Source organism: Homo sapiens, chromosome 4, assembly GCF_000001405.40.
Source record: "Homo sapiens chromosome 4, GRCh38.p14 Primary Assembly".
Lineage (NCBI taxonomy): Eukaryota > Metazoa > Chordata > Mammalia > Primates > Hominidae > Homo > Homo sapiens.
Window position 1 is genome coordinate 152349013 of NC_000004.12, and position 21841 is coordinate 152370853.

Genomic DNA, 21841 nt, shown 5'->3' on the forward strand with positions numbered 1-21841 from the left:
TCCAATTATGATGATTTTCAAATTTCATAAAGCAGCATTTGAAAGAAATATTTTTTACAACTGAAATAAAAACAAGCTATTTCTCTGTAAGAGGCACAATCTGCAACAATGTTCAATAAAAAAATTATATCTGAGCAATGTTAATTTTAGTGCATCTTATAGAATAAAAATAACTAAATTGAAATATTTTGAGAGAAAGGAAGAAATGTCATAACCATGAAGTTCTTATGGTTTCTACTGTTAACTTTCAATCACTTATTTTAAAAACTGGCAATTATACAAAAAATTCTGTTTTAAAGACCAAAAAAAAAAGCTCTAAGATACTTCTGTCATTTAAATTTTAAAATACGACATTCCAAGTGACATTCAAAGCCACTTTTAATTGGCTGGGCAATAGACATTGTGCTTAAGTTAGCCTAATAACTGTGAGAGTGGGAAAAGTTTTATACTGATGTAAAATCCAAAAATAATGGGGACTGAAGTAGAAAAAGATTACAATTATGTTTCATTGTTATGGAAACTATTCTACTGGTATAGAAAAGAAATGTATGTGTTAAAAACTTAAGACCTACCAAGCCCATAAAAGAAAATTTCTAACACATTAATTTCATGAAATAAGATTGAGTTAGTAATTGTTTTACTTCACTGCTAATAAATGTATCTTCAAATTTCCATACATAAATGTCTACCCTAGAACAGCTGTTCCTATAGTAACAAGACACAGGGGCTCATATTCATATTTTATGGTTTACTTTTTAGAATTCCTTAAAAATTGTAATTTTAAATTTTTGTTCACAAGATAATTTCTGCTTGTGTCCTACTTCAAAATGTATTAGTAACAAAACATAAACTAAGGTGGCATTCCTCTTATTTAAAATGATATAGTTCTCAATTTCCGGTAATCTCAAAATGTGTTAAACAGTCAACCGTACTAGTAACATTATTATTCTACAAGAATAAACTAAAACACTTTCAGAATCAACTCTAAAAAACTGAGAATCATGAGATAATCATTATATTTAATATTACCTTGTATATTCTGAGACTTTGCATGGTTTCTTTCCCAAAGAAAAAGAGCGGACCTCAGAACCATGGTCCAACTTTCTTTTCATCTATAAGGTAAAACAAACAAGATATGTTTTTTAAAAATCGTCTAACTATCAAATCTTGAGTCAGCATGGTTAATATTTTAAATTCTTAAATTTTCATATGCCTACAATGTTAATTAAATATATAAAATAAATGTTTCATAGTTTCTTCTATTTGTTCTACTTTGTTTTACTCTGAATGGAATGGAAAGGTGAATTTTCCCCCCTAATATTTTATCCAGAAGAACAGTGTGTGATGATTTGAAAACTGATATTCATTATATATATATATTCCTTGAGATAATATATCTTTCATGTTTTCCAATTTAATAACCAACATAGGGAAAAATCTCAAGTTAATCCACACAGAAAATAATCATATTTAACGTGCCTTCCTCGTGAATCATTTTTCTTTAAAAACATGTTTTTAATAAAGATAAAATTCAAAATTGTAAAATCAGAAATAATTATGAAAGTAACAAACTCAATTTTAAACACTCATACCATTATAAGAGGGTAAAGAGCAGTATAAATAATCTTGAATAGTGATAAGGCATAAAGCAATTAATATGGGCAATAAGGACAGTTTTAAAAAGTAAATCAATAATAAGAGAAATCTGGAGATAGTATAATAACGCTGAGGGGAAAGTTGTCAATTGATATATATACAGAATATAGCTCTATTGACAGATACTCAGGACAAAATATTCTAATTTGAAAAGCAACAACAGAAAGGTTTTAAAAGAATCAGTTATGCCTCTTCTATAAGGTGTATCCAAAATCTACATTTTAAGGTGTTTCATTATGCCATGTTATACTATAAATATATTCAGAATTGTTTCTTGTCAACATCAATATTGAAATATTCTCATTTGACTATATGTATATTTTAAAACTAGAAAATAAAATCTGGTAAGATTTGACTTTTTCCATTTCAACAACCCCTTTTTAAGATTTGTGTCCACTAATTAATCACTGTATTACTGCAAGTTATAGGAGGAAAAACACTCCAAAGTGATAGAGAGCTATCCTCATGTTTATAAGTAGGTAAAAATCCTTGCTTTGCAGCAGCCTTATTTTCCTACCTCTTGCCTTACATGGGAACATCATAACATAGCATGATACAATATAAATACTAAAGAGACTTAAAATGTTTTAGAGCCACACTGAATAATAAAGACCATGTTTTTGTCATCACGAAGAGTTTTCTAAAATACTAGGATGATCTTACGACATTAGGGGCTAGAGGTGAGGGTACAACAAGCTCACCTACAATTTATACCTTAGTTCATGCCATACCTACTGGAAAGAAATGGAATTGATCTGGCTGGTTTCTTCCCTTTAGAAGTTTATATACTCATTACATTGTTTTAAAGTGATTCCTCTCAGAAACCATTATTTTCTTTCTCCAAATAATTTTATTAAAAAGCAAATATAAATATAAAAGCTGAAGTATATAGGTAGCCACGTGTTTCCGTGTATATAATTTATAGATACACACATATATATATAAACATACATGCAAATGAATCCATCAGGAAGGTCAGTCAGTACAGACTATGTTAAAATCTAGTTTTTTGATAACTTCCACAAATTCTTATCTTCATAATTAGGAGAAACTTTGATATTTATTCTAATTAAGTTTGTAATACTGGCTTTCAGAACTTCCCAGGATACCTTGTAAAAAACATTGGTGCAAATACCATTTGCCACTAAAAGCAAACTTTATTTCCATCTTAGAAATCCTTCAATGAATAAACATGCCCCAAAATGTGTATCAAGGAAACCACTGAGAAAGGATTTTATTTTAAAAATATTTTATAAAGGAAAGCACCTTCTGTATGACTATAGAAGTCTTTTAAATACTGTACTGTTTACTGAAAATACTGACTTCAGAACCAAAAATTAATTCTGCAATTTTTGAGGGGTACAGAAAGTAAACATGATCTCTTTAAATATAAATCCCAAATAGTCTCATGATTCTATACTTTTAAAGAGTCAACTAATGAAAAAAGAAAAACTGTATACAAGGTATAGAAAAATTGAAGGCAAAAGGTTCACTAAAAGCCAACTAAGGATAGAGTATTTCCAGGTCAGCATTTAACAGAGCCACATTTCTAAAGTCTCAATGTATTTTTAGTGAAAAATTCTCAGATTAAAATATACATTTTATCTTAAATTTAAAGCTTTTTCCAGCTCACAGTCTTTCCGTTATTTGCTTACATTCATGATATAAAACAGAATACCAGACATCCAGCCACCCACCAAAATTAGAGGATACTGCAGCCATCTCTGATGATACAGATTTTCCTTCTCAGGCAGGCATACACACACAATCACATAGCATAGGAAGAAAACAGCTTACTTACTTTGTAAAAAATCATTTTTAATGTGCCGTAGAAACCCATATTTTCTGTATTTTTCCCCTTCAGTGATTCTGTGCCCCCGTGTGTCCGGCTGCTTGGCAGTCTCTGACAATATAAACCTTTTTCAGGTAGGTATGTCACAGATTCTAATGTGGACATGCTCAGGCACGTCAGAAAAGGAAGATTAGGGAGCAGAACCGGCAACAAAACTCCACAGTAAAGGCAAATGCAGCTCAGTATCAAACCGCTTCTCGGGACACACATACATACATGCAGCTTGACTGAGAAGAACTCGAGGGAATAATGAGAGAGAACGGAGAAGATTATTGGAGGAGACTATGCCCTGTCAAAGCCTTGACTGAACAGATTCCTCCCTCAGCAGCAGAGGGATCAGATTACATCTTCCCTTGAACACAGAATGGTGCAGTCCAGGATTCAGCAATGCAGACTGCACATCAATTATATGGTGATCCGCTCCAGGGAACCCGTAAGAACACAACGCACTGAACAGAGGGAGGATGTGGGCAGCAGAGACCGCCCCCACACGACAGCCCCCTCTCCCCTTTCAAACTTTCAAGAGGTTATTTTTGTATTTTGTAAAACCTGCATTTTTGAAGAGTTTTAAATAGCAAGGAACATTTCCACAAATAAGTCTTTTCAGAAACATTTTGAAAATAGGATATATTTTCATACGGTCCCCCTGAACTGAGGCAAAGCATGCTATTTTCACTGTCATCCTACCGTAGTCCTGGCACAGACTAATCAGATTTTTCAAGTAGCTTGGATGGTACAAAACAGGCAATCCCGAAAAGAGAAATTAATATACTCTGGGGTTGACTGACAATAAAGTAAACTGGTTTGGAGCCGACAGCATTTGCAGAAATTATGTAATCTAAGTTATATTTCAAACTGCGTATTTTGGTATTGATTTAATAAAAACATTGCCTATGCTTTTCCATTTCAATCCTTTAAAACATAGTAATTTTCAGGGAAATTGCCATACACTTCATCAATTCTTACTAATCATAAGAATATCTTTGTAAGATTAACAAACTAGTACTACCTAAGTGTGTAAAGTTTGGCCAAAAGGCTATTTTATCCCCAAAAGAGCAAACACTGTGCTGGCTGGAGAGGCTTACTTTTATTTGCTAATTTAATCTGGAGTAAACAGGAGGCACTAGACTTCTATCTCCAAAATTATTTTGACAATCTATATTGCTTATCATTAAAAAGGCATTTTACATAATAAAGATGCCAAAGTTTGCCAGAAGGCAACATTTTTCCTGGAATGACTACTACACAAATCTAGATATTTCATCTTGCAACTTCCTTCACAACTACCTTCAGGGACAATTATAAGATTCCTTGAGCTAGAAAAGCCCATTATTAAGGTTCTAGTTAATTTACTCCTACCCTCCCCATTAGTGTTCTTTATTACAAGTAAATTGTGTGCCTATAGTTACCACTATTCGAAGTAAGTTTCTCCAGAAAAACAAAACAAAACAACCATTTGGACTTACTAACATTTTAATACTCTCTGCTATGGTGGTAAATGGCTTTCTTTAGTAAAATGGTTCTAAATACTGCATAAAGTAGTATCATAATTTTAAAAATAAAAATGTTTACCTTTATAACTAAGACATTATGTCAATGCAACATCTTTTACTTTAAAACATAAATGAAATTAAGATAACGTAAAATTTTATGAAGATGTACATCTTGAGTCTTCTAGAAATTATATTCTACTGTCTACTTATCTTTAAAAAAAATCTCCTACCTGGCTCTTAAATTAATTCTTACCCTCAGGAACAATATGTATATGTACTCAGCAGAAGTTAGTTATCTAAATAATCTCACTTCGAAGGGAAGCAAAAAAACAAAAAAATCTAATTGTTAGGAATGGACCCATAAACTCTTTTGTCAGAAGTTCTGAGGACTCAAGATTTAGGAAAGGGGGAAAAAAGGTGATTTTCCTCAATGTTCTGGGCTATGAGAACACCTGAAATTTCATCCAGAATTTGTCAGTGGTAACAAGTTTTCCATAAGACACGTGTAATACTAGTGCTATAATAGTATATACTTTGGCTTCAACTGAAATCATGTCCTATTTCTAGTTGAACTAACCTTTTCAAATTAAATCTACTCAGTTAAGAAGAGACCAACTTTAATGAAGTAGGGGATACTGTCTCAAAACCTAAAGAAAATATCTCTTAACTTTGTATATTCAAAGGACTGCTCCCATGGTTATATGGCTCCTACTTAGGGCTGTGAGTTACAGGAAAACCTGTTCCCTACAAATATTGTTTGTATGTGGGTACTGTCCTGTAGATCCATGTTTTATTACCAGGTTTGTATGCTTCAAACATCAAAATGATATACAAAAAATTCTACACTGAGAAGTCTTTCTACTACCACATATCCTCCATCTACCATGGTTCCCATTTGGGAATGATTTTTATTGTTTATCCTTTAAGTGAGAAATGCGAATGTTTATAAGTACTAATGAAGACCTTGTCTTCCCAAGTATTTAAACAATTCTCCCTAATATCTTATGATGTTAATTTGAACTGTGAAGAATCTGTCAAGCAAAACTAGTCAACTAAGCTTCTAACTGAATTTCAAATTAACAGAATAAAAATGATTTTCAACATTCTCTGACGTACTATCAATGAAAACTGTGATCTATTATATTACTGTCATCATAATCTTAATATGAACAAAGCAAATAAAATCACTTGCATTTCTATTTATACCACTCGGCTAAAATATAGTTTGAAACTTTATTCAGATTTAAGTTTTTGGTAATATAATATTTAAAAATTTTTATGGGTTTGTGTCTGTATTTATCTATCTTATCTCTGTGACAAGAAACATTTTAAACTTTAGATCAGTCTATTATCTATGTTAAATAAGTTTTTTTAAAGTATTTTATGCCTTACACTAAAATATTAAGTAGTAAGTTCACAGGAAAGAAGGTCAACCAAATAGCTAAGAAACCAAATAGCTAAGTTAGTCAACCAAACAGCTAAGAAAATGTTTGTCATCTATATTTTTAGAATTACTATTTCACTATATTAAATATATTTTCATTACAATAATTTTCATGGAATTTCAGCTAGGCACTCATTTCTCCCATTCTATAAAAAATTAATTCTTGTGTTGACTGACAACCTAGAAGCATTATTGAAATTCCATTAGCAAAGGGAATGACCAACAATAAGGTCCTGGAATAAAATCCATCTGCTAACTCAGACCCAATGCTCATCTCATCACAACTCCACTGTGCTAGGTGTAGAAGTGGAACTAGTGTGCTAGCATAGAAGTTAGAAGTAACGAGGAAAAAAAAACAACACAAATATATGATGATATGTTTGCCTCTGGGGAATGATGCCATAGAATCATTAACCCGTGAGCTCCTACCAGAGCTCTGAACAAATAATTGGGACGACTTAAGTTTTTAGAAGGGCAAGTTGTGGTTGTGAGCAGAAAGAAAAAATAGTGTATATACAGTGAGAAAAATATACACAAATGGTCTTAAGCGAATCATGTATCTTCAGAGAAATACTTATCTTTACATATAATGTCAACATAAAGGATGTAGTTAATAGAGTACTTTACCTCACCTTGACTCTCAAGAGTTCATTATTTCCGTCTTATATATAGTTCTATTACTGCAGTTATCATAGTTCATTGTCATTATTTTTATACATCTTTCTCCCCTATCTCCTCCCTAAAGATTCACATCTTACTCAAATTTATTTCTAGGGCATCCAGAAAATGATACAAAACAAATAATTAATATTTTTGAATTGGCCATACAAGCAAATATCAGAAACCACAGCATTATTTTTCTAAAGCTTAAACATATATTACAATCAGTACTAAAAAGTTTAACTCAACTAAAAAGTTTATAATTAGTGGAAAATACTATGAATACTATTAGTTCTTTTCTTTACCTTGCTAACATTTAAAAATACACTTCCATTTTATAATAGTAGGAGAATGTGTTTATATTCCTATGTCAGTGATTTTATTATTATCATGACAACACTTTGTACTCTAGAAAGGACTAGGAAACCACCACAGTTAGCTGTCTTGCCCTGAGCACAGAATTTAGATTACAGACAGTTCAAAATTACAGACAGTTCAAAATTTCAACATCAATGAAAGGAATGCCAAGCATGTTGAGACTGAAATACTTTTTGAAATTTCACTAACTCACTGTCATTAACTTTCTGGGATGTGAGTGCTTATTAAAAGGTTTGCTTATTAAAACTGGCAAACTAATAAACCTGTTCTATTACAGATATCAACTGGAATAGTATATATGCCCAGCATTTACATTTTCACTAACACAAATAGGTGGCAGTATTGGCCAATAAGCAATTTTCCATATTTATTCATTCAGTAAGCATTTGTTTAGCACCTACTTTGTGTTGGGCACAGAATATTATATACATCAATTGAAACTTTGTTCTTTCTCCATTGGAAATACAGTCAATTAACACAAGAGCATAGTGTAACGTAATATACACAAACATCTGACTGTTAGAACTCATACTGAAATTAGTTCTAAAAAATTTTTGAGAACATGTAAAATAAAACAAGATGAGCCAGCTTTAGTTCAAAACTACCATCTAAGTAAACAAATACTGTGACACTAGTGCCTTAGAAAAAAATCCCAAACACTAAACACTGTAATAGATAATCTTACTTTACTTAAACTTATTTTTTGGGGGGAAGGGGATGTTTATAATATATATAATCCAAACCTTTGTAAATCAAGCTGCAAATCAAAATGTTATAGCTGACTGCTTTTAAATAAATTTTAATATAATTACAGAAGTAGTAGTTTTTTCTTTTTTTTTTTTAAAGACATAGTCATACTCTGTTGCCCATGCTAGAGTGCAGTGGCGCAATCTCGGCTCATTGCAACCTCCACTTCCTGGGTTCAAGAGGTTCTCATGACTCAGCCTCCCAAGTAGCTGGGATTACAGTCGTGTGCCACCACACCCCACTAATTTTTCTATTTTTAGTAGAGATGGGGTTTCACCATGTTGGCCAGGCTAGTCTCGAACTCCTGGCCTCAAGTAATCCGCCCGCCTCAGCCTCCCAAGGTGCTGGGATTACAGGGGTAAGCCACCGTGCCTGGCCAGAAGTTTTAATTCTTGAAGTTTAAGCTATTTAAAACTCTCCTTACAAAGACACAGCCTCTGATTAGTGTGACACACTAATCAACTGCAGTATTAGTTCCAACAGTGTAAGTTTTTTCATTCCTTCAGATTGGGCCAAATTAGTCATCTGATGGACACATGCACAAATGTATTTATCTACAAATATATAAATATACACACATACATAATTCATACCCAATAGTGCAAGTTAAGAGTTCTATTTATGCCAGCCACAGAATAAAATAATATGGGGGTTTTATTCGCTCCTCTAAAATTTATATTGTTACAGAGCTGTCAGACTAATACTAAGTCAACATCCTCTACTTTTTCACAGACAGCCGGCATCAGTGCAATAATTTGACAACAAAGTTAGCAAGTCACCCTGGAGTTTACTGATTTATCCAGAAAGCAATGAATCTTTCATGCTTAAAATCCAAAATAAACTACCAATAAGCATTTGGAATTCATAAGTTTCCTCTCAAAATTTTATTGTGAATTTCTTATAGTAATACCTTCAGTAAAGTAAGACAGATATCATGGAAAAAAAGTATAAAATGTAAGTTTGACTTCAAGAAAAATGAAACCACAAATATGACCCAGGAAAGAATTTAACATGGAGAAAGAATGAAATCAAATTTCCCTCAATATAAGGCCTAAACCCTATTCACTCTTCTGCTTTCTTTACACAAATCCATATTTATTGCTGCTGTTTGTGATTTTCAAATATATTTGCCTGACTTGAGAAGAATTTCCCATAGGTGTGATATATTAATCTTGTATTCATTTCAAGAACTGTTTAAAATTCTGGGATTAATTTCCTAAATTAGTGATTAGTCATGATAAAAAAGTTTTGAGAAGAGAGCTAAAGACTAAAAAAAAAAAAAAGGTATAGCTACTAAATCAGCAAAAAATATTAACAGCAGGAAGCCATAGAGTGATTTTGGATGTCATCTAATTCCTCTTTGTTTGTGGAATGAACACAAGCAATGGAACCAGAAAAACCTGGATTTAAGCGCAAGTTTTGCCATTACCAGAGTGTAATGTTAGGTGGTTACTTGACCTTTACGAGTTTGTTTTCTCTTTTTATAAAACAGTAATGATATACACCTACCTTACCACCTAAACTACAGAGTCACTGTGAGGAAACAGAAAATGCCTAGCACATAACAGATACCCTAGAAATGGTAGCTGTATTTAACAGGTGGGAAAAGTAGGTACAGAATTAAGTGTCTTGCCCATGCTTAAATAGCTAGCTATATTTAGAACCTTGGTCTCTGGTCCCAAGATCAATAATTCTTACTGATTTCCATTAGATATGTGGTAGCTCAAGTTAAGCTAAAACACGAGACATTGTTAAAGAAGAAAAAAGTGTTATATTTTGCAAAAAGTATGTATGTAAATTACAAGTAAATCTTGATTATTCAGTTTATTGAATCGTTATTTTAGGTCCATATTAACTATGCTTCTACTACATCTGGGAAATCTGAGGCAAAGGCCTGGTGATGGGGGAAAGGTGACAGAAACTGAGAAAATTTTAGGTTAAAAAAACAATCAATTGAGAAATAAGTCACCTCCTATGTCCCAATATCTGCGAAATGCTACCAAGGGCAAACAAAAACATTGCAATTACCTTCCTCCCACAAGATACTTAAAATCCAGGTGACAAGATAAGAAATGAGGCTGGGTGTGGTGGCTCACACCCATAATCCCAGAGCTTTGGGAGGCCGAGGCAGGAGGATCATTTGAGGCTACGAGTTCAAGACCAGCCTGGGCAATATAGCAAGACCCCATTTCTATAAATAATGAAAAAAAATTACCTGGGCATGGTAGTGTGCACCTGTAGCCCTAGCTACTTGAGAGGCTGGGGCAGGAGGATCGTTTGAGGTTGCAGTTAGCTATGATCACAGCACTCTACTCCAGCCTGGGTGATAAGGCAAGACTCTGTCTCAAAAACAAACAAACAAAAACTACCAAAAACAAAACAAAACAAAACAAAACAACAACAAAAACCACGAAGACAGGTGAGGCAAGAGAATCACTTGAACCCGGAAGGCAGAGGTTGCAGTGAGCTGAGATCGTGCCGTTGCACTCCAGCCTGGGCAAAAAGAGCAAAACTCAGTCTCAAAAAACAAAAAAAACCCACAAAGACAAGAAACAAATAGAAAGCAATACTGGACTATATATCAATTGCCAAATTGGGTGGAGTGAGTCAGAAAATGGAGAAGTTATTTTAATAGTCTGGGAGTTCATAAATGACATGGTCTTGCTTCTGTGTTTAAAAAACAGAAGTTTGATAAGTGTTGAGAGGGAAGAAGGAAATTACCACCTGTGGACCTGAGATGTAAATGGAAATACGACTATTATTAACTTGCAGGATTAACAGCATCTATTAGACTTCTAATCACTGGTCTTACAAGGTTCATTAGGGGATAACCCATGTGATAACAATTATTTCTCCTAACTGAAACATTTAATACTAGAGTTAAAATGTTATTTAACATATTGTTAAATTTCTTCAAAATACCTCCTGTCATGACTCATCATTCCATCTTAGGGCATTATGTGTCTTTCTGTACTAGGAGAACTTTACTGTGTGGGTGTGAAGACTGTTGACTTTTTATTTTAGTTACAAACACTGACAAACAAGGGGACTTTCTGTTTGAACAGGCATTCACACTAGAAATCATACATACAAGCAAGTTGTACTCCTGAATACACAGCGCAGGGAAATGGTGTATAAAACATTCATTGAAATTGTATATTCCCAGAAAAAGTTAATGAAAAAACAATCCGAAAAGTTACTCGGGGCAACAGGTGAGTACACAATTCACCGATTCTTGCCAACATGTGACTGAAAGAACCTGTCCTATTCAAAAAGGTATAGCTCACTAAGAAAATTTTCATCTTGTTCTACCCCAGCCCTTTCTCCCCACACCTCTACTGTCTGGCCCCCAGACTCAAAGCCTCTTTTCTAAAGAACAGACTTCACTATAGAGCATTTTGAAGTCTCAGAAACCGTTCATCAGGTACAGAGCTAGGTGACTATGGAAGGGTGACTGTAAAACTAGAAGGTATGTGAGATTCGATAACACAATATAAGGTACGGTCCTTTTGAAAAAACAAGCATATATTTTATGTGTGTGCGCACTGTGTATGCATAGAGAAAAGCCTAGAAAAATATATTAAAATATATTAAATATATATATATATATAAAATATAGTAAAATGCCAGCCAACATTTGGCTGGCAGATACAGAAAGTCCAGATTCATACTTACTGCACTTTTTAAAATATAGGCATCTCTTCTCATCAAGCATCTTACTAATTTTCCAGAAGAATTCAAAATGACAAGGCATAACTTGAACCAATCTTTTAAAACTCTAGTTATGAATCAAAGTCTGTGAATTCAAACTGATTTCACTAATTCAAAAATATTTATTGAGTACCTATTTTGTTTTGGTGCTAGGCCAGTGAGAAACAAAAATAACACTGGATTCTTGCTCTAGAAAGTGTGCCTCATGGTGATCTTTAATCAATTCTTTGTTTTTATGTAGCTTGCTTGTTCTTTAAGTATTCAAGTGTTTGACATAGCTGTCAAGTGAGTAGGGAAGAACATAGTAATCAGGCCCCCACTACATTTTAAAAAGAGGATTCTATTCATTTTTAAAACATTAATTTAAATTTTAAAGTACTTCCTATATACATATATATACTTTAACAAATTACATTATTTGCTTTAAAAAAAAATCAAGAATTCTATGACTAGCAAATACTTACATGATTCCCTACCTGTTTAGGAGATTCCAAAAGACTCTGAAGGTCAATAAATATTTTCAAGACAACTTAACTTGAAAAGGTATCTGAATGTATATTTGTCTTTTATGTGCAGTGAACTGTAAGACTGATAGTTAGAAGCACTTTGCTATCTTCTCAACATTCTCATAGAAATATTTTATTTACAGATTCACTTTCTTAAAATTTATTTTAGCACATGATTTAAAAAATATTTACCTATAAACACTTGAGACCTCCAAATGTTTGAAAACTAACTTTTGACAGGCATGGTGGCTCACACCTGTAATCCCAGCATTTTGGGAGACCAAGGCTGGTGGATCACTTGAGGTGGAGACCAGCCTGGCCAAGAGTGAAACCCCGACTCTACTAAAAATACAAAAATTAGCCGGGTATGGTGGTGTGCACCTGTAATCCCAGCTACTTGGGAGGCTAAGGCAGGAGAATTGCTTGAACTCGGGAGGTGGAGGGTGCAGTGAGCCGAGATTGCAACACTGCACTCCAGCCTGGGAGACAGAGCTAGACTCCATCTCAAAAAAAAAAAAAAAAAAAAGAACAGAACAGAACAGAAAAAAGAAAAGAAAAAAGAAAGCTTATCACATTTAATACATGATTCTAAAAACTCCTTTATGTGGAATGAATATCATAAGTTTCCCACCAGTTGCATGAAGGCATGGTATGTAATGATGGAATGATGACTATTAAACAAATATGAATTATAACTAAAATTAAGAACTGCTCCTGATATGAACAAGTGCATATAGCTGTGGTCTGTTACGAACTGCTACATGGTAAATTGAGACCACTTTTTAAAGCTAAATCTTAGATTTCTTAAAATCTAAGTTTATGAGTCAATGTATGTTCATAATTATACAATATGAAAAAATCCTATGAGGAATAGTCTAAATCTACCCAAAAGAATATCAATTCAAAGCTAGCAAAAGGATGCTGAACTTTAGTGTAATCTTAAAATTCCAGTATTTTTTAGTTCATGAGATGATAAAGAAGACACACACATATTCCTTTCTTCATTTTAAACCTTTCCTTTAAAGTCATTCCAACAACAGACAACTTAGCATATTAAAAAAGAACTTAGGGCCGGGCGCAGTGGCTCATGCCTGTAATCCCAGCACTTTGGGAGGCTGAGGCAGGTGGATCATAAGGTCACGAGTTCAAGATCAAGTTCACCAGGCCATCACCTGGCCAAGATGGTGAAACCCCGTCTCCACTGAAAATATAAAACAAATTAGCCAGGCATGGTGGTGGGCACCTGTAATCTCAGCTACTTGGGAGGCTGAGGCAGAGAATTGCTCAAACCCGGGAGGCAGAGGATGCAGTGAGCCAAGATTGCACCACTGTACTGCAGCCTGGGCAACAGAGTGAAACTCTCTCTCTCAAAAAAAAAAAAAAAAAAAAACAACAAGAACTTGGAATAGTTTTCAAGAGAAGATAAATGAAGATATGTTAATCATCATGATCACAACATAAACAGCAAAGATTAAAATTAAGTGGTATTTTCCAAGATATTTTTAGTCACCTGACTTTTATTAAACCATTGCAATAAACAGATTTTGTTAGACTAAGATGTAATTTACCCCCTACCAATCCATTTATTTCAAAGACTTTAACTTTGTGAGATTCACAATATTTGTTTATCATTTATAGGTAGCACAGAAAAAGCTAGTGACTGAGAGCAATTCATGTGAGCCTCTAACTCCAAATTCCATTATAATATTATCAGTCTCATCCAAATGAATCCTGAGTCATATAATGATTCTCCATTTTCTAAACAATAAAACAAGAGGGAGAAAAAATTAAGCAGTGATTCAAATGTTATATTTTTAGATCTAGATCTACCACATTTTAGAAATATTTGTCCAGGGTTACTAAAAGCCAAGCACTAAGCAAAAAAGATGCAAAATTGAGCAAGATGTAATATCTATCCTGGAAGCACTCCCAACTCAGGAGGGAAGGACAGGCAAGTCAATAAAAAATGACAAATCCATTTGACTAATAAGTGAAACTGCTTAATTTGTATGACAATATATACAACTAGAAAGAGGAAGAGATAATATTTTCAAGAAATGCACATGGCAATATTTTAAACCAAATGTATACAAGAAAAATAAACACTAGATTTTAAACTGACCTGAATGCTCTTTCAGTGCCCACTATCAAAGATGCTGCAAACTTTATTCCAGTTTGAATAAGCAACTCCTTTTCAAAAAGATGTTTTCTTAAGAATACAATGTATACAGGGAAGGAAACTCACTATATGTCAGGCACTCTTCCTAGGTGTTTTTCTTATATTAATTCAATGAAACGGTTTAACAACTTTCTGCAGAAAGTACTATTATTATCTCTATTTTACAGATGAGGAAAGAGGCACAGAGAGTTTTAAGCGACCCCAAGGTCACTTAAGGTAGATGGGATTTGAACCTAAGGAAGTCCTGGTCTTCAGTTTACAAAAAAATAAAAATAGGGTTCTCTATATACAAAGCAAGAAATATTGGCAGTTTAAATATCTCTAAGATGTTTTCTTAGTTATTTCAGTATGCAAATGTGTGATGTGAATATGAAATCCACACTAGAGCCACTGCAGACTTGCAGAAAGAAGAGACGGACTATGCAGCTAATTGTGTACTGTGATACACTTTATTTCTGGGAATTCACCAGGAGCAGCTTGACAACAAGTTAATACACTACTGCCAGTGGCTCCGCTTGGTTAAGAACTGCTCTTATAATCTGTGACATTATATTGAGGCCAGGCAGTCATCAGTGGGCATACTGGAAGAAACACAACAACAAATGGGTTTTGCTTCCTTTTCCCAAACCCTCTCAGGACTTCTATGTCTTACTCTCCTTCCTTCATGTCCTGCTTTATTTCCCTAAAATATGAAATAAAAGAGAGCTGAAAACACAAACATCAAAGGATCTCCATTGCAGTGTCCTTTCAACGAAGCTACTAGGTTTTTTCCTCCTTACCAAAATGATTTGAACCCTATGGAAAACTGGCAAAAGTTATGAATCATAATATTTATGAAAGAAACTGCTTCAAATGTTCTTTGTTGATTACTCAAACCCAAATACACTTAATAAGGGACTATGACTTCTTCATTGAAAATTTTTTTAGTACACAGCCTAAAAATACTTGACTTACTAACCAAGTAGTAACAAATACACAGGATTTTCCATCTGAATACATAGAGCACATGCTTTTCAATATGTGGCTATCATTTGGGCCCTGTTTCTTAACTTCATTACATAAGGCCTTTTTTAAAGAGCCAATCCATCTTCATTAATTGTCCATTTGATCCATGTATGGTTATCATTCCTAACAGTGAACATCTGTATTGAAACATATGTATCTCTGTGATTCTACCCTACACTTTGTCTCAAGTATCTCCATAATTATATTCTACCTAATATACATAATTACAACACATGCAGATTTACATGGTTATTTCAGTCTGCCACAGATACTCCCATTCATTCAATATAATAGTTACTTAGTTGCCTAACATAAGCTAAACTAAGTCTTGTGTCTGTTTCATGGCTGGAGTTCACAGCATAGTGGGCAAGATAATGAGACAAAACAAAGCAAAACTGCAACTGTGGTAAATGCTGCAGTGTTCGAAGAGTGTTAAGAATGGTGAGGTTTCCACCTAGTCTGTGGGTTCACAGAAGGCATCTTCTCGCTGAATGAATGACTGAGCTAGGTTCGGAGCAGGGAGGGATAACCACCTATAGCTAGAGGACACTGAACAGAGGTAGGATGGCAGGTGTAAGATGAGGCTGAAGAAGTAGACAAGGGATACATTACCCAAGACCTCAAAGGATTTTGGGTTTTACCATAAGAGTAATGAAAAGCTAATGCTGCATAGTAGTTAAGAAAAAGATATAATCAGATGTTATTTCTTGAAAAAAATCATTCAAAGTGTAATGCTGAAAATAGAATGGCAGTGATTGAGAGTAGATGTGGAGAGACTGTGTGAGGAAGTTATTCCACTAGACCAGGCAAGAGATAATGATGGCTTCGATTAGCTAGGTAGAAACAGAGATGCATAGGAGTGGGCAGTTAAGAGACATTTAGGACATCAAACTGATAGGATAGTAACAGATGGGTCATGCATGGCAAGTAAAAAAGAGGAAGGTATCAAAGATAACACCTGTTTTCTCACTTGTGCAATTGGATAACAAGGACTGGGTTAGTTGGTTGTTTTTTGTTTTCTGGGGGCCAGGGGTGAGGAGGATCTTGAGATATCTTGGAGATAACTGGGTATCCAAATCTCATGCTCCAACTGGTTCTGGCCCAGAAGAAAGGTCTGGGTTGGAGATGAAAATATGTGAATTATCTGTATACAGGCTATCTCTGATTTCCCAGTGCTTGAAGCCAACACCTTGTTACAGTGTGAGCACATTAAATATTTGTCTGTCTTCTCCAATAGACTGTAAGTTCCATGAGGGCAGTATTTTTATTCTGTTTTGATTCTTGTTGTATCTCAGCTCCTCACATAGTTCCTGCATATAGTAGGGTACCAATAAAAAATATTTATATGAGATAATTAGCCACACAAGACATACCCTAATCAACAATGGTAGAGCTACAGAAATAACAACAGAAAACCATTAATTTTGAACACAATTTTAAAAACTCATAATTTTCTAAATAAGAAATGATGATGTAGGTGAAAAATACATTTTACAGGTTTATCATTTTATAATTATACTGTCTATTGTTTATAATACTTAATATATTTCCCCCTCAGGGAAAAGTCATAAAAGCATTTCTACATATTTATCAGTCATACAGTCCAAATACAAATTAAATTGGAAGAAAATAAGTTTGATGAGCAATAAAAATGCAACTTCACAGTTTAGGACTTCTGTACCTTTAAAATGCCCAACAGAATCTAAACTTTCACTATTAAAAGGAATACACAGTTTTAGCAATGCTTGTTAAAGTACACCACTTCTCACAGGTCTCATTTAAATCATTTTATTTATTCATAGTTATTAACTTCACAGACAGTATTTTGTACCTCCATTTTACTGACAAGAAATCTGAAGCATGAGTTTCTGAGTTGCCAAAAGTGTTGTAACTTATACTAGCTTTAAAAACTAAATGTAAATCAAAACCACAATGAGATACCATCTCACACCAGTTAGAATGGCGATCATTAAAAAGTCAGGAAACAACAGGTGCTGGAGACGATGTGGAGAAGAAATAGGAACTCTTTTACACTGTTGGTGGGACTATAAACTAGTTCAACCATTGTGGAAGACAGTGTGGCGATTCTTCAAGGATCTAGATACTATTTGACCCAGCAATCCCATTACTGGGTATATACCCAAAGGATTATAAATCATGCTACAATAAAGACACATGCACACGTATGTTTATTGTGGCACTATTCACAATAGCAAAGACTTGCAACCAACCCAAATGTCCATCAATGATAGACTGGATTAAGAAAATGTGGCAAATATACATCATGGAATACTATGCAGCCATAAAAAAGGATGAGTTCATGTCCTTTGTAGGGACATGGATGAAGATGGAAACCATCACTCTGAGCAAACTATCACAAGGACAGAAAACCAAACACCGCATGTTCTCACTCATAGGTGGGAATTGAACAATGAGAACATTTGGACACAGGGCTGGGAACATCACACACTGGGGCCTGTCGTGGGGTTGAGGGATGGGGCAAGGATAGCATTAGGAGAAATATCTAATGTAAATGACAAGTTAATGGGTACAGCAAACCAACATGGCACATGTATACATATGTAACAAACCTGCACGTTGTGCACATGTACCCTAGAACTTAAAGTATAAAAAAAAACTAGCTATACTTGTATACATTTCATATATATTATATATATTCACATATTTTAATCTCTATGAAAAGAACAAGTTCTATTTCCTTTAAAATTAAATTGAATACTACATATGTTACACAAAATTGCCTAGCTTTATTTTGCTTCAGTTGCTTTTCATCAGCATCTCCCATTGAGAGAGGATATATCAAGAAATACTAGTTAATAAAAAAGGGCCAAAAAGACTAAGATCCCACTAAAATACTCTAATAAAAATGATGGTTATTTTAATTATACTTCATTCACTTTGGTTTTGTGAATATGCAAAATATGCAAGAAATATTTTTAACAATAGATACATTTCTGGGCATACCATTCACTTCTAACTTTGTATGCAGATAAAACATTCCTCGACTTAATCTTCAACGTAGTCAACACTATACACACTGATATCTAAATCTTTAGTTTTCACTTTCTAATAAATATTCTAATATACAGAAACTGAAGAATGTTATTACCATTTTCACAAAGCATCTACATTTTTGTATATAGATGTAGACATTTTAAGTAAATATATTTAAGACTACGACAACACAAGTTGATGATACTAGGTGACAGTATTAATGCTTTTAAAATTATACTAAAGAAAAAACATACTAATATAAAGAAGAAAAAAACTGGTAAGTTTTTTTTGGAGGAGGTATGGTTTGCCATTTATTACTTTTTTTTTGTAAGAGTCGATTAATATTCTAAAAAGGTCTACGAAAAAGCTGAACAACCTCTCAAGCTCTGAATCCATGGCACTGACCTTAGGACTTTCTCAGAATGATTTTTAACGCACTCTGTTATTAGTAAAACCTGTTCAAACACATGCCCCATCTGCCAGCACCCCATCTGCAAGAGAGCTTCTTATTCTTGTAGACAGTACAACTTCTGCCTGTTTCCTTCTCTTCTCTACATACCAGCTGTATGGTAATGAGCATGAGCAGCTGAAAAATACTGCATTATAACAAAGCTAATATGAAAACAGCAGAATAGGACTTCCCTTCAATGAAGCAGTTGTAGCATGAACATAGCTGATAAGCTATTAAATAGAGGTAGGGGGTGGTTAGAATTTTACTTCTATGTGTGTGGGATGCCCGTGTGTGCGGATGCATGCATGTGTGTGTGTTAAATATGGAATTTCTGTATAACACAGAAATAACAAGAACCAAGAGAAGCACAGGGTACTAAAGAAAGGTCTAATTTTCTAAGTACTTTTGTTAAAATTTGTGAATCAGTTCTTTAAATGTTTTAAGTCTCAATTCTTATGTAGTAATGATATATCAGGTACCATTTTGACAAGACAGTTTTCAAATTTGTTAAAAAGTATGTTACATTTCTTAATTACCAAATTTTGGGGGCTTCAGTAGGAAAATGGTGTCAGAACTTAAAATTATAATGGAAACTATATACTAGACATTTTAGCAGCTAACATAATATGTAAATCAATAACATGTATTTTTAATTCTTATATAGCGATTTTAAAAATTCCAATTTAATGACATTTGAAACCAACACATTTATTCTGAACATCTGAGAATCTCCAAACAAACTACCAAGATGTCACATATGCTTTTCTTCATGTAGGGAGACATAATGGGGTTAATTTTTACATATATGATAGTCGCACTGAATGAATCTACATAATGTAAGTAGAACCAAATCACATTAACTTTTTATGCATGGTATCTTTCCACTCAGAGAAGATTAAAAGTCACTCAGGAAACTGTTTAAGAAAAATTATTCAAAATTTATGCTGTGCATCTTCTTTTACCACTTGAAGAAACTAAAAATGAAAAAAATACTCAAAATCTCTATCATAAGTACTATTACATCAGGAGAATTAATTATAAATTTTACCAACACATCTAAAAATGTCTTATGAGGGCTTCATAATAGTTACAGAACTCTTGTACATAACCATGCTTTCCATGGGTTATTTCATTTTATCCTTACAACAACCCTCTGTAAAAGGTACTACTATTAGCTCTTCACAGATAAGGCTTAGTAAGTGGTACAGCAAAGAACTTAAACCCAGGTCCAACTGACCCTATAATCCGCGCTCTTAGGCACTCTGCTTTTCTGATATGAACTCCACGAGGGTGATGGCTGGGATGTTTTGTTCACTGTTGTACTCTAAATGCCTAAAGCAGTCCGTGGCTCATAGGAGGTGTTGAATAAAGTGAATACATAGATGGAAGAGATAACTGCTCAGTTGTCTTCTTTTAAATATTAAGTCGGGGGAAAAGTTACTATATTTTGTAATAAAGTTTGTAATAACCTTAACCATTTTGACACGAAAAAAAGATGTACCAATTAAAGAATCTTAAAAATAAGACTGTTCGGTAATCTCAGTTTTGTTCACTTGTCATATTGAAAAATTAAGACTGTAAAAATTATCATAAACATTCATTTTGAAAGGATGACACAGAGTAAGGGCAAAACTGCACTGATCTTGGTATTTTCCGGTTTTTATGAATCCATTTATTCTCATTTTTATTGTCAGACAATAAAAATGCATTTTTCCTTTTAACTAAACATATTCCTTGACTTCAAATATAAATCAGGGCCAAGAGCTTTCATAATATAAGAGATTTTGTATAACACATGTAAGAACATGAACTGAAAGAATAGTTCCAACTTAATGAAGCAGTACCAACCATCCTTTAAAAAAGCAAGATATAGTTATGTTATCTTAGAGAAGAACAAACTTCTAACAGTAACACAGATTTTTAAAACTCACAAATTCAGACAAGATTTACAAAAACAGTACTATACTGCCCCTACATGTTCATATTAGTAGCAACAGTGACATTTTAAAATCTAAAGTGATAACGCAGAGATTTCTATGGATTATTGAAAAGCTGTTTAAGCTGAAATTGTTCCCAAGTGAACTATATGAAATCACCCACACATAAAAATGTAATTAAATAGCTCATAAGTTTCAATTTTCATGTTCAAGACTAGCAAAGGAGAAGAAATTTAAGAAAATCCCATTCAACATTACCATAAATTTTCTCAAATCCTCAAAACAGATTTTCCCATCATTATATGAGGATACCACAAAATAATCATAAACAAATGGCTAATTAGCCATGTGCTTTTGGGATAAATATTTAACCTTTTCTGTCTCTTTTATGTATGGGGTGGGGAGTGCTACCTTTACTTGAGGAAGAAAGTTCAAATTAAAAGTCTTGATTTAGTTGTGAGTAAATTCCTAATGAATGCAAACATGGAATTCCACTATAAAATTAATGTTTCAAGTTAATTATATCAAAATATTACATGTATAGTGGATCACTGCAATGTTTTTAGCATTATCTACACTTGGAGGTGCTACTTTCAATGGCCACTTTCAACTATTCTCTCTCTCAAAGAAAAACAAATATGCAAATAATGCCAATGTAGTAAGATGTACGTTTGAGAAATGATGGCTCTCCTAAGAAGAAAAGCCTGCTATTTTATGGTTCGATAGCTCTGAAAAATATTCAGTATAGAAAAACAGAATTACAAAAACAGTATTAATATTTGAGAAAGACTCACTGCTTCCCCCATT

At 33.6% G+C, this 21841-nt stretch overlaps 1 protein-coding gene across 16 annotated transcripts in view, besides 1 other annotated feature; it reads right to left on the reverse strand.

Annotated features, from left to right (window-relative positions):
• FBXW7 (F-box and WD repeat domain containing 7) overlaps positions 1 to 21841 on the reverse strand; it is a 215549-nt gene that overhangs the window by 28469 nt on the left and 165239 nt on the right. For 15 of the 16 annotated variants that reach the window (XM_011532085.3, XM_047415900.1, XM_047415902.1 and 12 more), the window contains one exon: positions 1030 to 1112. In XM_011532085.3, coding sequence (XP_011530387.1) covers positions 1030 to 1112 — 83 coding nt within the window. Of the gene's footprint in view, positions 1 to 1029; positions 1113 to 3457; positions 3815 to 21841 lie in introns of those variants that run through there. The other variant, NM_018315.5, reaches the window with a different exon arrangement.
• Positions 17491 to 20353: an enhancer, noted in NCBI's record as "VISTA enhancer hs1361". NCBI's record gives its function as "enhancer in: neural tube[8/9] | hindbrain (rhombencephalon)[8/9] | midbrain (mesencephalon)[8/9] | forebrain[8/9]" and the evidence as "EXISTENCE:transgenic organism evidence [ECO:0001131][PMID:17130149]".